The sequence below is a fragment of the Homo sapiens genome, chromosome 13 (assembly GCF_000001405.40).
Source record: "Homo sapiens chromosome 13, GRCh38.p14 Primary Assembly".
Classification (NCBI taxonomy): Eukaryota; Metazoa; Chordata; class Mammalia; order Primates; family Hominidae; genus Homo; species Homo sapiens.
Window position 1 is genome coordinate 111,435,386 of NC_000013.11, and position 18,127 is coordinate 111,453,512.

Genomic DNA, 18,127 nt, shown 5'->3' on the forward strand with positions numbered 1-18,127 from the left:
AATTGGGGTGGAGTGAAGTGATCAGAATTTAGAAATACTTAGAAACCAAATTAATGGGATTTGGTGATTGGTTGAGTGTGAGGAGATTAAGGGAAGAGCCAGGAGTGACTCTGCCACCAAAGAGGGCAGAAAAATTTAAAACAGATCCCTGAGGACAGTGACTGGGAGGCCATGGTGGAAGAAATGAACTGACTGAAGAGTTAAAGGAGTGAACTTTTGAAATGGAAACACCATGGGGATCGGGGAGGTCTGCACAGAGGCTGTGGATGGAGCAGTGCGGAGGCTCCTGGCCACAATTTTTATGAAACATCTTTTAGTATTAGTGGCATGGAGTGAACAGGTCAGAGTTCTCCCTTTTCCTTAAATACCGAAGAGTTGATGCTGCTTCAGATTCCAAACTCAGGCTCTTTCCTGAGTCCACACAAGGTAACTGGCCGTCCAGCATGGAGATACTGGCTTAGGTGATGGTTTCTGCTCAAGGGGGTGGAGCTGTGATGCCACTTCTGTCCTGCTTTGCTCTCTAGTCATTTGGAAGTCTTCATTTTGTCTTTTCTGGGATTTGAGAGGGGATATTATAATCACTAAATACCAAAGTCTTTTTATTTAATGTATTCCTAATATTCTGAAAGTTCTATTTTAAAGATAACAATTTTCCTTGTTCCCATTAATAGTCCTTGAAAATCTGGGATTTGATTAGGGAAAAGATCACTTACGTACTAACACAACATAAGGATATACATTATTAATGGAAACGAATGCAAAGCCAAGGTTATTCAGGGACTCCTTGGCCTCTGGGGCTGATATACAGCAAAGTTGAAATGCTCCCCACTCAGGTCCAGCTGGACCCTCTGAATTTCTTGCTTCACCTCCCCACACCTTCCCCTATAGTCTGAACCCTCACTCCCTCCAGATGTTTGGCACAGAGACCAGAGTTTAGACCTTGATTCCTACTACCTATTGGGTGTATTCTGCTGAAGGTTCTAAAATTTAAGCAGTCTACACTAAGTGTGTCCAAACGGGTGTTCATTTCCTTGGTGCATTGGTTCACTGGAGAACGTGGCTGGATGCCCCTGCGCACTCCTGCCCATCCCACTTGGCACCCCTGCTCCTCACTGCCTCGCTCCCCCACCTCCAGTCCAGGGCATCGCCCTCCAGCTGATGTCTCGGTGTGGACTCCGAGGGTGCAGGGTGAATCTGAGCCGCTTGCAACCTGTGAGATCTTGAGCAAGCTTTGTGATTCCTGAGTCCAGAGCCCTGACCCGTGCACCGAGACAGAGCAGCCTAAGCCTCCTGTGCTGGGGAGGCTGCTCCATACTGAGAGGGACAGGGGCTGGCCTCATGCTCAGCGCGCTAGTGAGGAAGGAAAGCTCTTCTGTAGCATCCTCTGCCTTCTGGATCCTTCCTCTTCCTCTTTGGTGCTGTGGTGTCAATGCGAGTCCTCACTGTCTCTGGTCTGGTGCACGGATGTCCTCTCTTCTAGAGGCACTACTTGAAGCAGGAAGCTGGACACCTCCCTTCCCTATATAAAAACATTTCCTTTCAGAAGACTAAGTCATTTCAGAGCCTGACCTCAACCTACCTAGTTGCTTCTCTCTCCCTCTCCCTGCCCTCCCATGACTGAGCGCACACATACACTTTATGCAGGACGTGGAGCTGCCCAGACGCCTCGGAGCACAGGCCCCTTTACCTCCTCTGAAAGGTCTTCTTCTCCTTCTGCCCTGTGCATGGGGTAGGAGGCCCAGCCCCTCCCCTCCAGGCCTGGCTATAGGATGTTTAACTAACTTGTGATTCTCCTACAAGCCTGGGAGCTTCTGAGGATGACAAACGTGTCCTTAAATACTGAGCACCTACAGAGGCTCTTTGTACCCACCCACTCCTGTGGAATTCCCTCCAGGTCATCTCGTTATCCCCATTTCACAGATGGGGAGACTCCATTGCCCAGAGACTGAGCAGCATTCTGAAGGCCAGTGAAGTAGCAAGTGCTGACACCAAGATACTGTCCCTCAGCTGGGGCCCCTTTACGTCCCAGCTGGAACTGAGCTCGCCATTTGCAGGATGGGGGAGCCACAGCTGCCGCAGGGGTGTCCCGGACACTTCCCAGCCCAGATGGAGCTCCCAGGGCACCAGGGACCCCACCTGCCGGGACCATCCAGCCGGAGGCTCTGGTTGCTACCCCTGACCCCCAGGCTGCTGGGTTCACTTCAAGTCTCTGCTTGGAACCAGCGCACAGGAGGCCTCGGCCTTCGGTCAACTTCCCACACCCCCAGGGAAGAGAGGTCCACAAGTTCCCAAAGTGTGGTCCCAGGCCAGCCTTGCCTGCCTCCCCTGGAGCTGTGTGGACATGGGAGGACAGGTCCCACATCGGCCCAGGGACTGCCGCCTCCTGCTTCCGCCCTGGGGAGACCCCCCTCATCTATCAAGGCCAGTCTGTGGGACTCAGAAAATCCATACCATGAGAAGGCGTCACCCCTGGGATCGGGAAAAGGCCCTGCTTCCAGCACAGGCTCTGTCTTGGCTCTTTATCTTCTGGATTCTTCACTGTGGGGACAGTGGCCGGTACCTTGTGGGTGCCCTGGGAAGAGGCTCACATAAGGAACTGGGGAAGCCCCGTGACAGCTGAGCTGAGGGCATGGCGGCCGAGGGCATGGCAGCTGAGACTGGGGCGCAAGATTCTGGCCGAGCTCCACGGCAGCCTCGTGGAACCTGCCCCCGACCCACCAGGCAAAGCCGCTCCTGAATTTAGACCCACAGATGCTCGGGGTCAGTGGTGGTTTCAGTTTCTAGGCTTTGGGGCAATCGGTGCGCTGCCATAGACAGCAGACACCCCCGGGAGTCAGAATCCTGGGAGGGTGTTCACAGGCCTCCGGGGGTTCTGACACGCACTCAGGCCAGAGAACTGGTTTCCTTTGCACCAGTCATTTATTCCTCCACTCTGGTGATTTCGCGGCTGAGGCCTGTGCCTGTTGGGCTCCCAGCCTCCTCCGACTTTTCACGGGCTCCTTCCCTTTAAGGGCTGATGCTCCCAGGGGCTCCCCGGTGTCCGGCTTTTAGCAATCTCACTGCTGTCACTGCTGCAGCCATCGCCCCTCTGGGGACAGCTCTCGAGGGCACCAGGCAGCCCACCACCGTCCTGCCCTGATAGGGGAGGGGCTTGGGGCCAGGCAGCTCTTTGAAGAGTACCTGGGTCAATACGTCGGAAGGCAAGGTGGCTAGAGCGCTTGGCCTCGTGGGCAGGAGGAGGCTGAGCAGCCAGGAGCATGGCCCTGAGGTCACCCACGTGGGTTCCCCACCTTGGCTGGGCACTGACCCAGTCCGTGACTTAGGCCCACCTCACTCCCTCTTCTTTCAAATGGTAATAACTGTGGAAACTTCTAGAGGGCTGTTGCAGGGATGACATCAGCTGGGTATGCGAGCAGGTAGCAGAGTCCCTGCCCAGGTCCAGCACTAGCCCGGGCTGTGGCTGTGGCAGCCCGTGTGAATGGCTGGCTTGACCACTTGTAACGGTGTGTCTGGGAGACCCGCATGTCTCAGTCAGTTGAACCAGTGATTTTAGTAAAGCTGGTTATACAAGAGGTGGTTTCTGGAGAAGGACTGCGCTCACTGGCAGACTTAAGTGTTTCTTGCATTCGGGACCTGGGTTGGGGCAGGGGCCTGCACAGGGTCCTGTTTCTACCAGCTCTTCCACTCGCAGCCCTGCTAATCCAGGCCTCATTGTTTGGGGCTCCGTGAGCTGCTGCCTGGCCAAGTCATAGCCTCCTCTGTGGTCCTCTGCTCTGGGCTGAGCTGCAGACTCAGGAGGTCTGGGATGGCTGGCTGGAGTCAGGAGTGGGGGCCCATCCTCCTCTCCCCCCATAAACATCCCCCCACCTGAATGTGGCTTATGTAACATGACTCTGGTGCAGTCCTTCTCTGAGGGAAAGGAGCCTACGGCCTCCAATTAACCCAATTAGAAGTCATTACAGGCAATCCTGGCCTCCCCCTAACTCTTGGATTAGCATAATGAGCCTGTATGAGTCGCCAATTATAAACACATTCTCCATGGATTCATATTTCTCTAAATTGCACTTCCCCTGTTGATGACAAGTTTTCTCCAGAACAGTTCCCTCTACACAGAAATACATTTTCCTGTTTCTTCCAATATTCAATCTACTTCCCACCTGGGGAAAGGCACATTGCTGGATGTCTGATTCTTTTCCTGTGCTTAGAGATTCTACAATTCTGTGTTTTTGAAGTTTTGGCACTTAGCAATAGGTCACTGGGAGGGACGCATGTCTTAGCTAGGGCTTATGTTATGAAAATGACATTTTCTTGGGCACAATTTCTGTGTGTGGCACAGTGGTTGGTTTGTGTGAGGACTGGGCTTTTTGAGCCTCTTGTTCCTTCTCCTGCTGTTTTCCTGAGTATGAGGAGCCCAGCTCTCCCTGCACGCTGTCGAGGCTCATCAGCCCAATGCCCTGGGCACCCTGGAAGAAAGTGCTATGTGATACGTGCAGTCGGCTGGGTGCCCCATGCTGTTTCCCGCTTTTCTTCCAGCCTCTGTAGAGAGGGGTGAATTAGGCATTCACAGACCTTCCTGCGGCATAATGGAGACACTGGTGGAGCTTTTTGTTGGGGAGGGGTCAGAGGGAGGTGGATGGTGTTTCCCTTCCTCCCTTCCTCTTTTCTTTGGAACCCCACAGCAGGGGTGGGACACTTCCAAGGCTGGCAAGACCCTTTTGAGAGATGTGGGTGCCTCTTGGGTGCAGAGGGCAGGGAGGTGGCAGGGATTCAGGTGGCCCAAGGGGTGAGGAGGAAGGGAACGGCCTTCATAGCCCCATCCCACTGACGCCTGCACACTACCAGTTGCCCTTGGAGAACATGGATATGCTGGGAAGCATCTCAATGCATGGAAGCAGGGAGGCAGTTTCTGCAACTGTGGAGCCCCCGGACCAGAAGTGCAGAGAAATTCCACAGCCCGCGTAGCGTAAGCGAAAGAAACCTTGACTGCTCAGCTCCGTTTGGATGTTCACGGACATCTCAGCTCTTCTTGTCCAAAGCAGAGATCCTTGCTTTCCTTTCCAAACCTGCCCCCTGCAGCTTCCCCTGCAGCTCCCCCTGCAGCTTCCCCTGCAGCTCCCCCTGCAGCTTCCCCTGCAGCTCCCCCTGCAGCTTCCCCTGCAGCTCCCCCTGCAGCTTCCCCTGCAGCTCCCCCTGCAGCTTCCCCTGCAGCTCCCCCTGCAGCTCCCCCTGCAGCTCCCCCTGCAGCTCCCCCTGCAGCTTCCCCTGCAGCTCCCCCTGCAGCTCCCCCTGCCTGTGCTGAAGGTCACTGCATCCTTTCAGTTGCTCAGACCAAACCTTTCAGCAGACCCCACTTTACTCCATCCAAAGGTCTTGTTGGTTCTACCTTCAGAATATACTCAGAACCCACCCCTTCCCACCTCTCCATCCCCGCCACCCTGCTCTAAGCCCCTAACCACACCCTCTCTTGCCTAAATGACCAGCCTGCTAGCTGGTCTCTGTGTCTTCTTCCTTGCCTCTTCCTCCTATAGCCTCTTAGTAACACTGAAGCTAGGGAGATCCATTTAAAATGTCACTCCGGGCTCTGCCCTGCTCAAAACTTGCCAATGCCTCCACCCCATGTCATTGAGAGCAAAGCCCAAAGCCCTTACCGTGGCCAACAAGACTCCATGTGTTTTCACTCTGCCTAGCCCACCTCTTTGCCCTCATCTACTACTTTCTCCAGGCTCTCTCATCTCCAGCCTCTGGTCTCTCTGCAGCTCCCCAGACCTTCCAGGAATGCCCCTACTCTGGGGCCTTTGCCCTGGCTGCCTGCTTTGCTGAAAGCATCCTTCTGCAGACATCCACACACATGCCCCCTCAACTCCTCCCGGAACATCCACACACATGCCCCTCACCTCCTCCTGGTACATCCACATGTGTACCCCTCACTTTCTCCCTCACCTCCTCCCAGCACATCCACACACATGCCCCTCACCTCCTCCCGGTACGTCCACACACGTGCCCCTCACCTCCTCCTGGCACATCCACACACGTGCCCCTCACCTCTTCCAAGTCTTTGCTCAAACATTGCCTTCTCAAGGAGGCACCTCAACCACTCTCCTTAAAAGTAGACTGGGTGTGGTGGGTGGCTCACGCCTGTAATCCCAGCACTTTGGGAGGCCAAAGTGGGTGGATTACCTGAGGTCAGGAGTTTGCCAGCCAGCCTGGCCAACATGGTGAAAACCTGTCTCTATTGAAAATACAAAAATTAGCTAGGCATGGTGGCACATGCCTATGATCCCAGCTACTCAGGAGGCTGAGGCAGGAGAATCACTTGAACCCGGGAGGCGGAGGTTGCAGTGAGCTGAGATTGCGCCACTGCACTCCAGCCTGGGCTACAGAGCAAGACTCTGTCTCAAAAAAAAAAAAAAAAAAGTGATACCAGTGTTCAACCTTCACTCTCCCTTAGTCCTTACCTTGCTGAATTTTCCCTGGAGCCTTTATTGCCTTCTAGCAGACTGTGTAATTTATTTACTGATAGTGTTTATTACACACCTGTTCCTGACACTAGACTCTAATCTCTACACGGGCAGGGCTTTCATCTCCCTTGCTTTCAGACGTGTCCATCCTAAGCAACTACACAGTGCCTGCCATGTGTGTAGTAGGCATCTGTCAACTAAAGGAAGGAATATGAAAATTGTTCCATATGTGGGTCTTACTTTTCAGCTCCCAAGTTCTCAAGATCTCATCTTGAATGAGGTTCAGGAAAATATGCTTGATAGTTTGAGCCAAGTCACGTGGCTCAGTGTGGTAGTGGCATCCTGTAAGATTTCAGGGATTGGGGAAGCTATGCACACCAGTGGAATTGAGCATGGGGTGAGTACTGGTGTCCTGGGGCAGCCACAACAGCAAAGACCTGCAAACAAGATGGCTTAAACAACAGAAATTTATCATCTCAGCCTGGAGCTGAAAGTTTGGGACCAAGGTGTCAGCTGAGTTGGTTCCTCCTGGAGGCTCTGGGCAAGAGTCTGTTCCAGACCTTGTCCCTGGCATCTGGTGACAGCTGGCTGTCCTGGGCATCTGTTGGTTTGTAGACACATTGCTCCATCTCTGCCTCTATCTTCACATGGCCACCTTCCTGTGTGTCTGCCTTCACATGGGGCTCCTCTCTGTGTCTTACACATTATGGTGATGATATCATCACCAAAATCAATGCATTTAGCTTTAATTCAATTCCTTTTAAGTTTGTGTCCAAATTTTGTCTGTTGTTACAATCATGTCCTCTGTAGGCATTCTTTTTCTAGTCCAGAATCATCTCCTAGATTTGGAATAATGCTTCACATTTTTTTTTTGGCCTTTCTTGATAATTTTGAAGAGGTCAGGCCAGTTATTTTGCAGATTGCAGAACATCAAAGAAGTGATGTTGTGTTCTTCTCAGTGCGCCCTATCAGGAGGCACAAAATATCGATTTGTTCCAATATTGGTGATGTTAGCTTGGTAAATTGATTAAGGTGGTGTCTGCCAGGTTTCTCCAGTGTAAAGTGACTCTTAATTTTTAGATGACCTGGCCCTGCATGTGACACTGAGTAGGTCATGGTGATGTTGGCAGTTTGAATGCCAGTGAGCCTCTTTCCTTTTATCCTCCACTCTCTTTATTTGGAATTAGTGAAAGCTCTGGACTGGGGGGACAAGATGGGAGGTAGATATGATTAAGGTGGGTGAAAGGCAAGGCTATTTTTGAAGTTTCCGCTGAACTCTACATCCACAAAGCACCATCTTAGGATGAAATCCCTAGTGCAGGTCAGCCTGCTTTTTGATCTCACTTGTGACACAGACAACTCAAAGTAGGACGTTGCTGACCACATGAACTTGTAAGGCTGTGCCTGAGTGTGTGTGTGTGTGTGTGTGTGTGTGTGTGTGCACCATGCTCATGTTTTCCTCCCACATCCCAGCTTGGTTATGATGGTTTCACATAGTCTGAGAGGTCAGTTCTGTTGGAGGTGGCAGGAGGCGGGCCTGGACACACAATGGCTTGCCTCATTCACCTTCACACCCTCCATCTTCATGTCTTTTGCCTCTAGTGCCTTTTCTTGCATCCCTGTAGCCCAACTCACTTCAGAGTGACCTCACAAGGCCTCACTCAGGTTAAGCTCTGCCTCTCCCGGTCTCTTCACTTGCCTGCATGACTCTAATACCTAGTGATGCTGTCTGCATGGAATTTGTGTTTGGAGGCCACCAGAATAAATTAATGCCCCCTTTATAAATTTTAAGTTTTTAAATTGTGGTAAAATAGATATAACATAAAAATTTGCCATTTTAAACATTTTTGAGTGTACAGTTCCGTGGCATTAAGCACACTCACATTGCTGCTCAACCATCGGCAACACCCAGCTCCAGAACTCTTCATATCCTAAATGGAAACTCTTTCCCCCAATCCCTGCACCTACCATTCTATGTTCTGTCTCCAGAAATTTGACTACTCTAGGGAGCTAATACAAGGGGAATCACATAATATTTGTTCTTTTGTGTCTAACTTCTTTCACTCAGCATAATGTCTTCAAGGTTTGTCCATGTTGTAGCACGTGTCAATTTCATTTCTTTTTAAGGCTGAATTATATTCCATTATATGTACATACCACATTTTGTTTACATTGTCATCTGTTGATGAATACCTGGGTTGCTTCTGCCTTTTGGCTATTGCAAAAAATGCTGCCGTGAATTTGAGCATACAGACATCTGTTCAAGCCTCTGCTTTCTCTTCTTTTGAACACACACCCAGAAGCAGAATTGTTGGATCCTGTGGTCGTTCCCTTTTTTAATCTTTTGAGAAACCACTAAACTGTTTTCCATAGCAGCTGCACTACTTTACATTTCCACCAGCAGTGCACAAGGGTTCCCATTTCTCCATATCCTCACCAACACTTGCTATTTTTTTCTTTTTCTTTTTTTTTTATAATAGTTATCCCAGTGGGTATGAGGTGGTATCTCATTGTGTTTTTTATTGCATTTCCATAATGATTAGTGATGTTGAGCATCTTTTCATGTGTACAGTCCCTTTTTAAGAATATAAATGTACCCTTTTTTTGGTGGGTGGGGATGGATATAGCTTTGTTAGTGTCAGTGTTTCAAAAGCAGCTATGAAAATGCTCAGCTGTCTGTGGAGGTGACCTGCTGGAGGGAATTTAGAGGCTTTTCTGTTCATCTTTTCCCTACTCATTGCTTCCCTTTATTAAATGTAGAGAAAAGTGAAGGCCCTGGTTGCCAAGCACTGCCCATTGGACTTCCTGTCCCCATGCCTTCTCCCTGTGCCCGTGAGCTCTCCCCTCCACATCAGCCCCTGCCATGGCACACAGAGGACCAGCCCTAGACCCTGGCAGCCCTTTGCTGTCATTTGCACAGTTGGTGGTGACGGTGGACACTGAGCTGACTCTTCAAGCCCCGTGGGAGGACAGAGGACTGGTGCTAAAAGGAGCAAAGGGCTGAGCATCTCTCGCTCGCTAAAGTGAGTACAAAAGCTAGAACAAAAACGAGAACCCGAAAACAACACAAAACGTGAAAGAAACTAAATAAAAATGTGTGAAAAATAGAATGTCAGCTGGATGAGGACAAAAATAAAATGACTGGAAAAATATTCCAAGTAAATACTGCTGATTGTCGTCAGAAAGCCATTGAATTGGAGATCACTGAGGCAGCATGTGCATTTTAATCTTTTGAAACTGTAGCCCAGGTGCTGGAAAAGTCTATTCTTGGAGGGAAGACATCACCACAAATGGGACTGAGCTTCACAGATCTGTGTGCCAGATTCACAGGTCTGCTGTGGGGTGCTGGGGCTCAGTCTTTTTGTCTAGATGCCATCACTTTTTTAAGATTGTGCCTTCTCACAAATACACCCCCTGCCAACAAAATTATGACTCTAAGAGTGAGAAGGCTGGACTGAAGCCCCCAGCTCTCACTAATACCATCTACGTAGGAGAGGCTGTACAGTTATGGCGGTGGCAGGTACAGACTTTGTATCCAGGGAAGCATGGACTGAAAATCCAGGTTTTCCATTCACTATAAGTGCAATGTTGTGTGACACATTTAGCCTTGCACACATTAGTACTCTAATCTACACACTGAAGAGAATGCCTTATGGAGAGTTGTTATGATTCTATGTGATAAATGATATAAATCACCTCACTCAGGTCCTGGAACATAGTATGTACTTGATAAGTGGTAGGTGGTGGTGTTATCATAATCATAATCTTGTACGGCTGATTAGGAGATTGAAAAGAGGTAAATAAGAGAATATGAGAACAGTGGACAATCAAAAATATGAGGCAAAGTGGTCTTGGGTACTGCCTAATTAATTTTGGTATGTTTATTTTGAATCTGGGTACTTCATTTACTTCATTGATTCCTTATTAAAATAGTTTTGTTGTGCTAGTTGGCAGTTATTGTTGATTTTGGTGACTGTTTTAAGCATACAATTATGTTACTATCTGCAAATAGTGATATAATTTTCACTATCTAGAATGGACACTTCTTATTTCAGTTTCAAGTAGTATTGCATTGGATGGAAGAGTGGCTTCAGGGAGCGTGTTAGTCACCTGGAGAGCTTGCTGAGAAGAGATCCTATTTCAAAAACCGTTCAATTTGATACCGTAAAAACTATTCTAGGAGTAGAAAAATATGGAACATTTTTAATTCCTGTCTTGTTTTATGGATTCTTTTATGCCTTCTGTTACTCTTTTAATCTGTTGATCATTTCATTTTCACTATTTTAGCATGTATATTTCTGCAGTTATTTTTACCTCTAATGTTTTCTAAACCTCCTCCTGTAAACTACATTTTTCTGGTTAAAAGAATGAAAGGTTTTTGATTTCATCTATGTCAGATGCCCTTCTTCACTGGCTTATCCATCATATTTCTTAGCCTTTGATGATGTAATCTGTGGTTTGAAACTGAGATTATTGTTGTTGTAGTCCTATTAAAACATGCAAGTGGTCTAGTCTCAAAAGCTTTAGGTCACAAGAAGATATCCCACCAAAGAGGAGTCAATTTAAAAATAACCACATTTTTTACATATCCATCTCAAACACCACACTGGGGCTGTGGAGATTATGACAAATATTCTAAAAAACCTTATTTTCTCTCTTATCTACTTTCTTCTATCCATCAGCTTCTCCAATACTTTCTTTAAATTCTTTAAAAATTTATATTCCCATTCCTAACCTTTATATCTCTTGTCCTTTTCTGTTTTCCTTTGATTTGGTGTTACATATATCATCCCCTACCTCCCCCCAAAAACCCAGCGTAACAATGCAAGAAGATTCTTGGAAGGGAGAGGGTGGATGATTTAAACAAATGAGCATAACCGGAATTTGTGTCATTGATTTACTCCTTTGTTTTTCTGGAATACATTCTTGTTTTTGTTCTATTAAAACAGTACATCCTAAGTCAAGTTTCTTTGTATTTGTATGCTTGGAAGTATATCTTTAAGCCTTTACTTAAAGCCTTTACAGCAACTGAGATAAGAAAGTGGCACCAGCAGGAAATTGTAGAAATTCTGTTAATTTTTCCTGAAAGTTTTTAGGACCTTTTCTTTATCTTTGATATTCTGAGATTTCTTTCTCATTCTGCTGGCACTTGTTGGCAGAATATTCTGTGGTTATGAGATGTTTTCTTGTATTATATCTTGGATTATTTTCTCCCCATTTTGTCTAGTCTTTCTTTCTGGGTCTATTTGGAGGATGCAGCTTGGAGGAATCCTTCCTGCTCTCTCCTCACTCTTGGACCACCAAGGTGGCACCCTGGAGAAGAGATGATCAGAGTACTTGGCTTACTCCTGTTGCTTCATGTGTTGGGGGATGTGTTCTCTTCCTTGGTCTACTTTTCTGTTTCTTCTCTGTTCTTATCACCAGAGTGGCAAAATCTTAAAAATCTAGAAATCTAGGTTTTCAATTAGGGGCAATTGCTAGAATTGCCCAGGGGATTCCTAGCAATATCTAGAGACAGTTTTGATTGTCACACTGTGTGTATGTGTCAGGGCTTGGGGGGTGTGTTATTGACGTATAGCCAGTGATGCTGCTAAGATACACAAAACCAACCAAGAACTCTCTGGTCCTGAATGTTGACGGTGCTGAGGTTGAGCAACCTGCTCTAGAGGACTGAGATATGATAAAATCCTGGAAGATGCAGACTAAGAAGGCTGCTGCCTGATTTTAGTCTCTAAACCACAGAAGCAAAAGAAAATGTGTGCCTCCCATGTAGCCAGCCTGATTTACTGGGGTCAGAGACCTGAAGAGGAACCACTTCCAGGGGTAACTCTTGCATCTCCCTTTCCAGAAAACTGCCTGAGCTGGAGAAGTTAGGTAACAATATAGGCATCCTGAATTCCAGAAGTCTCTTTCAATCTTTAGTTTGGGACAATTGATAAGTGCAATAAATGTTTACATCTCACCTCTGTGCTCAACTTGCGGATACAGCAGTCATTGGAAAGGATGTGGTTTTTGCCTGCAGAGTGTGGAGTTGAGTGGGGAAGAGAGGTAATAATACAGATAAGAATCACTGCATTGTGCGTGACCATGGGAGGTTATAGAGGCTTATGAGGGCCTGTGGCAAGGAGACTGAAAGTCGTCCAGGGGCACGGGGAGGAGGACGCCTCACTGAAGGAGTGGTGTTTAAGGGGAATCTGGAGAATAGCTCAGCAGAAGGGCAGTGTCCAGGCAGAGGGAAAAGCATGTGCAGAGGCTCAAAGACAAGGGAAGGCATCAGCACGAAGACGAATGGAGGAATTGCAGCGTGGCTGGGGCATTGATGTGAGAAGAAGGGGTGTGTCAAGGGCCAAGGCTGGAAGGATGGTGCCCTAGACAGCAGAGGGCTGGTGAGATCGATGGACATGGCAGATAATTCAGTGTCTGCTGGGCGTGGTCACAGCATCCAGGTATCTGGTCACACACCAGCCTAGGTGTGGCTGAGATGGTATTTTTTAGATGAGATTAACATTTAAATCTATTGACTTAGAGTAAAGGGGATTGCCTTCCATAATGTGGGCCTCATCTAGTCAGGTGAAGATAGGTCTCCCAGAGGACAGCAGACACTGCCACCAGCATCCTGGGATCACACATCTGTCTTGACTGCTCAGGGTTTTGTGTGATGTGGGCAGGAAGCCTGACTTTCAGGGAACGGGTGGGATGTGGTGTCTTGATGTCCAGGGGACCGAAGTGTGGCCGCATGGTCTCTTTGGCTCAGAGCAGAACTGACAACCCCATTTGCCTGATGGGGAAACTGAGGCCCAGAGGGAATGATGTGGTGTGCAACAGGTCCCATGGAGACCAGGAGCCCTGATGCCCCAGCTCACACTCTTGGCCACATGTGGCTCGACCTCCCCATGTGGGATTCTGCCACAGCCAGAGGGGAGAGAAGGAGAAGCAGCTCGATTTACAGAGAGGGCGTGGCTGGGGGCCAGGTGGGTGCCAGCCCCACAGCCTGACCTTGTCTCTGCTGTTTGAGATTATGGGGAAGTCTCTGATCGTTGTTCATATCTGATCCTATTCCAGTTTATATCTCTGAAACCAAACCTTGTATCGCCTCGTGAGAAATTCTAACTGTGGAAGGATTGACACCAGCCTCCAAATTAATGATGGCAACAGGGCCATGATGAGGCTTTCCAGGTGGGTGTGGTCACCCGGAACGCCTGGCACTACCACAGCCTCTCGCACTTGGGTGGTGCTCTGCTGGCTGGGGCTGGAGTGACCTGTGGCTGTTCCAATGGCTTGAAGAGGCCTCCTTCCCACTCCCTCCCTTCCCCTGCGCAGCCTCAGAAGGCACCTGAGGTCCACCCACCAGGCGCTACCTGCTCCTCCAGGCCTTAGGCACAGGAGGAGTAGTGCACGGGAGACTCCCCGGCCCTCCTGGCCCTGTGACGTGTTCTGCAGTTGCCAGCGCAGAATGCATTACAAGGGCTGCATTGTCTCTGGGTTGTGGCATGATGGTTGTTTCCACTGTACTCTCCCCAGTTGAGTAGTAAGTTCTCTGAGAACAATGAAGTAAGGCCTTTATACTTTTTAAAAAATCCTTCTAATGCTTAGCATGGTATCTTGGGTTTAACTGTCACTTAAGAAACTCTGAGTGATGGTGATTCATGAGGCTGACCCACAGGTGGCAGGGACTGGTGTGAGGGGTGTCTTTTGTCCTCCACCCAGGTGGTTACTCTTTGATAATTATTGGGTGTGCTCCTGTCCATCAGGAAGAGTCCCTTGTTCTTGGAACATCTGGTCCCTCCCTTGCTCATCAGACATGAGTGGCTCCTGTTGCCCTGGCATGGCTTCCTACATTCCTGCCACAGGGCAAGTGCAGGTGTGCCCCCCTCGGTATGCTGACACCAGCCTCAGTGCTGTCAGCCTCCTCCTTCCTCCCAGCTCAGGGTGTTCCAGGTTCCTCCTACGTGTATCCTTGGCCCCCTCCCCGCACTGACAGGAAGGCCCTCCCCTCTCTATTCCACAGCAACTTTCACTCTTCTCCCATCTCCCAACTTTAACTGTCCCAACTTTCACGCTGCTCCCAGCGAAGCACGCACATCCCATGTCACAGCATATGTCTCTCCTATTACTGAAATGATCATGCTTTCTTGATCTCCCAGCTAATTAATTCCATGAGTCCAGGGACATCCTTCTCATCTTGTCTGTTCCATATTCCTGCACATAGCAGATGTTCCTGGCCAGTTGGGTTTGATGGGCTATTGTGAGATGTGACTTCTCGGGACTCCACCCTGGCTACAGCTAGTGCAAATGCTGAACGTTGTCATAGGCCAAGGACACTGGAAGGCATTCTTGCTCTGTGGCCCAGTTTGAGGCTTGCATTTGGTGTCTGGCCCTTTAAGAAGGAAATAGTTGGGAATCTTTGGTGGATCCTGGCCGGACAAAAACCTGGATATTTATGGAATATTTGCATCATTCTGGACAATTTATTATAGACATATATCTGTTCTATCGTCTGTCAAATGAGAAAATGACATTAACATGTGAGTGGGAGAGGCCTCAGAAGAGATGGATTTAATAATGAATGAACTCAACCATGCAGAAACATCTCAGTTCAGGGTGGCTAAAAAGGAAAATTTGTCTTTGTGCCTCAAGCCTTCACTGTCTGTACAGAATTTCTCCATTCCTGAAACATTTTATTCTTGTAACTTTTCTACAAAGAAAAAACTGTGTTTCAAAATCTCCAATTAAGTTCTTTCTCTCTCTCTCTCTCTCTCTCTCACACACACACACATGCACACACACACACACCACACAGTAACTGATAGCAAATGCTCAAAAATGGCCCCTTTGTAATTTTTATGATTACTCGGAAGTGAGATATGGAGATGGCAAGAGAGACCCTGTTGTGTGGCTGTACTGGACACCGTTGCCAAGTGTTTACTCAGAATTGGCTGGAGGTGAACAGTTGAGTGTGGGAGACTCTTTGTGAAGGTGTGACTATCGTCACAAACCTACTCAGCCTTTTTATTCTGTGTTAATCTGTGAATTGGATTTGAAAGAGATGGGATGGCTCTCCATGGCCCAGAAGAACTAATTTAATTTCTCTGTGTGTCTACTTAACAGGCATGGGTAATATCCCGGTCATTTGTCTAGAAAAGACAGAAGCCAGCAAGCTCCTTTTGTACATTCCACCTGCATCCCAGACGCTAACTAACCCGTATGCAAACAGAAAGAACCCTTCCTATTGTTGCATGAGAAACAACAAAGGTCTCCGTCAGCAGCCAGCCAGCAATAGACCCAGAAGTCACTTGGATTCTGTGTTTTCTGGCACAAAACCCAACGCCACACACTCGGGCTTTGTTCTCTGTGCTTCATTTCCAGAATGTTTTATGTCTCAGCAACAATCGGGCATTCAGCAGTCCATTAGCCATGTTGCCAATCTGTTACTCCATCTTTGATTTTTTTTAATGTGCAGTAGTTTTCCAAAGATCAATATCTGACATTAGTTGCCTTGTGCAGTGGCCAAAAAATGATAGGGCTCTGACCTTGAAGAATTTGGGACTGGTTTTTCCTGGGGACATGTCTTAGGACAACATCGAGAGAAGCAATCTTTCATCTCCGACCCTCCTCCGATGCGCCCTCCTCCAAATGGCACTGCCCGGGTTTCACTGATTCAGTGAGTGAATCTTTCCTGAGCAGCCGTGTACCAGGCACTGCACTAGGTTTGGGAACTTAAGGCTCTGCAAGGGAGCAACAGAATGAGGTGATAGGTAAAGCAAGTGCCGTCCACGCGTGGCACCACAGCTGCCTACTTCCTCCCGTTTTGTCCACTTCGCTTTTTGGGACACTGTTACGAGTTCCGTGATCTAATAACTGCTGCCACTGCCCTCTCTCTCAGCATGAAGACTGTGGTCAGATTTCACAGGTCATGTCTCACTATTCCATACGTGACTGCTGGAGATGCCTCATCAGAGGCTGGACAACCTACTGCCAAGTGTCCTATAAAGAGGATAGAATCTTGCTTTTGATGGGAGGTTGCATAAGCTGGCTTCTAAGGTCTAATGCTGATACTGTGCGATTATTTTTTCAAACCACGTCGGGATAGAAAAACAGATATGTCAAGTGCTTAGCATCGTTCCTAGAGGATACCAAATGCTCCCTAAAGTGGTATTGTTATAATTATTGCACACAAAATATTTCAGTGATTTCTCTCTTCCCTTTCATTGTCCCAGAGCCTGTTCTCTGATTTCCAACCTCCTACTTATAAATTCCAAAAGAAAAGGGATCTTCTCTTAGCTGGCATCTCCCACAGTGTGTTAGATAAAATTGGCAGTCAAATATTGATTGAACATAGGCCTTGTACACCACACAGAACTAGCAGATAATTTTTAGGGAAGTGTGTTGTGCCATACACCATAGGGAGCTGGGAGGCCGAGGAAGAAAGCACTGCGCCTGGGAACACATGCAAGCTTGCGTTCACGGATCCACACGCTGTGCCAGACTCCTTCTAAGGCCTTTCATTAAAGCCATTTCTATGTCAGGACAAGCAGGTAGGAGGAGGGTACAGGTGATACTTTCAGACTTGGTCCTACAATGGGCACTGCTGCCTAACAGAGTGTGAGTGCAAGAGGCTCTCACAGTGTGTGGCTGCTTCCTCAGGGGTAAGACGGGGTGAAGCCCCACACCCCAGCTGGCAGCCACCGACACATGGCTGGATCCCAGTACAGTTCCCTCCTGATATGGTTTGGCTTTGTGTCCCCACTCGAATCTCATGTTGAATTGTAATTTCCAGTGTGGATGGAGGGACCTGTTAGGGGGTGATTAGATTGGGGGGTGGATTTCCCCCTTGCTGTTCTTGTGATGAAGTTCTCAGGAGATCTGGTTGTTTGAAAGTGTGCAGCACCTCTCCCTTCTCTCTCTCTCCTGCTGCATCTTGTGAAGAATGCTCACTTCCCCTTCGCCTTCCGCCATGATAGTTAAGTTTCCCGAGGCTTCCTAGTCATGCTTCCTGTACAGTTTGTGGAACTGTGAGTCAATTAAATTTCTTTGTATCATAAATTATGCAGTCTCAGATAGTTCTTTATAGCAATTCAAGATCAGACTAATACACCTCCCCATTCTCCATCCTTTTAAACCTTATTCCAATGTCAACATTCACTCTAACATTTTTTAAGATTCCTACAATGAAGAAAGTAATGTCCTTAACTTTACATTAAAAAGAAAAACAAACTCGGAATATAGAGTTTCTCTGCTGTTTTCTATCCAGGCATGGAATAGAAATTAATGTGCATGAGTGTTTTCTCTGGATGTAAATGACAGGCTGGTGTTTCTATTAGAAGATGCCATTTCAGACCAACTCTCTATCTGGGAATAACTCTCCAGGAACATGCTGCTACATTTGGTGAACCCATTTACAGTTGTGGAAAAGCCACAGTGAAGTCTCTTTGTGGAATAGAAGTGACATGATTTATAATAAGATCAGATCTGCAATCTATGACCTTTGATATAAATTATTTAGGACCAATAATATCAGAAAAGATGTTTAGTTCTAACTTGTCAAAAGTATTTTTTTAAAAGACAGCTTTTTTGAGGCTTAATTGACACACAATAAACTGTTCATCTTTAAAGGGTATAATTTGATAAGTTTTGATAAATGTATAGAAATGAGAAACCATCAACACAAT

The 18,127-nt window shown here is 47.7% G+C and overlaps 1 long non-coding RNA gene across 1 annotated transcript in view; it reads left to right on the top strand.

The window, feature by feature from the left end:
• The window catches only part of LOC107984618 (uncharacterized), a 46,289-nt gene extending 28,947 nt beyond the window's left edge, over window positions 1–17,342 (top strand). Inside the window, exon 3 of the long non-coding RNA XR_001750032.2 lies at window positions 15,567–17,342. This is a non-coding gene — a long non-coding RNA (uncharacterized LOC107984618). The remainder of the gene's footprint in view (window positions 1–15,566) is intronic.
• The last annotated feature ends 785 nt before the right edge of the window (window positions 17,343–18,127 follow it).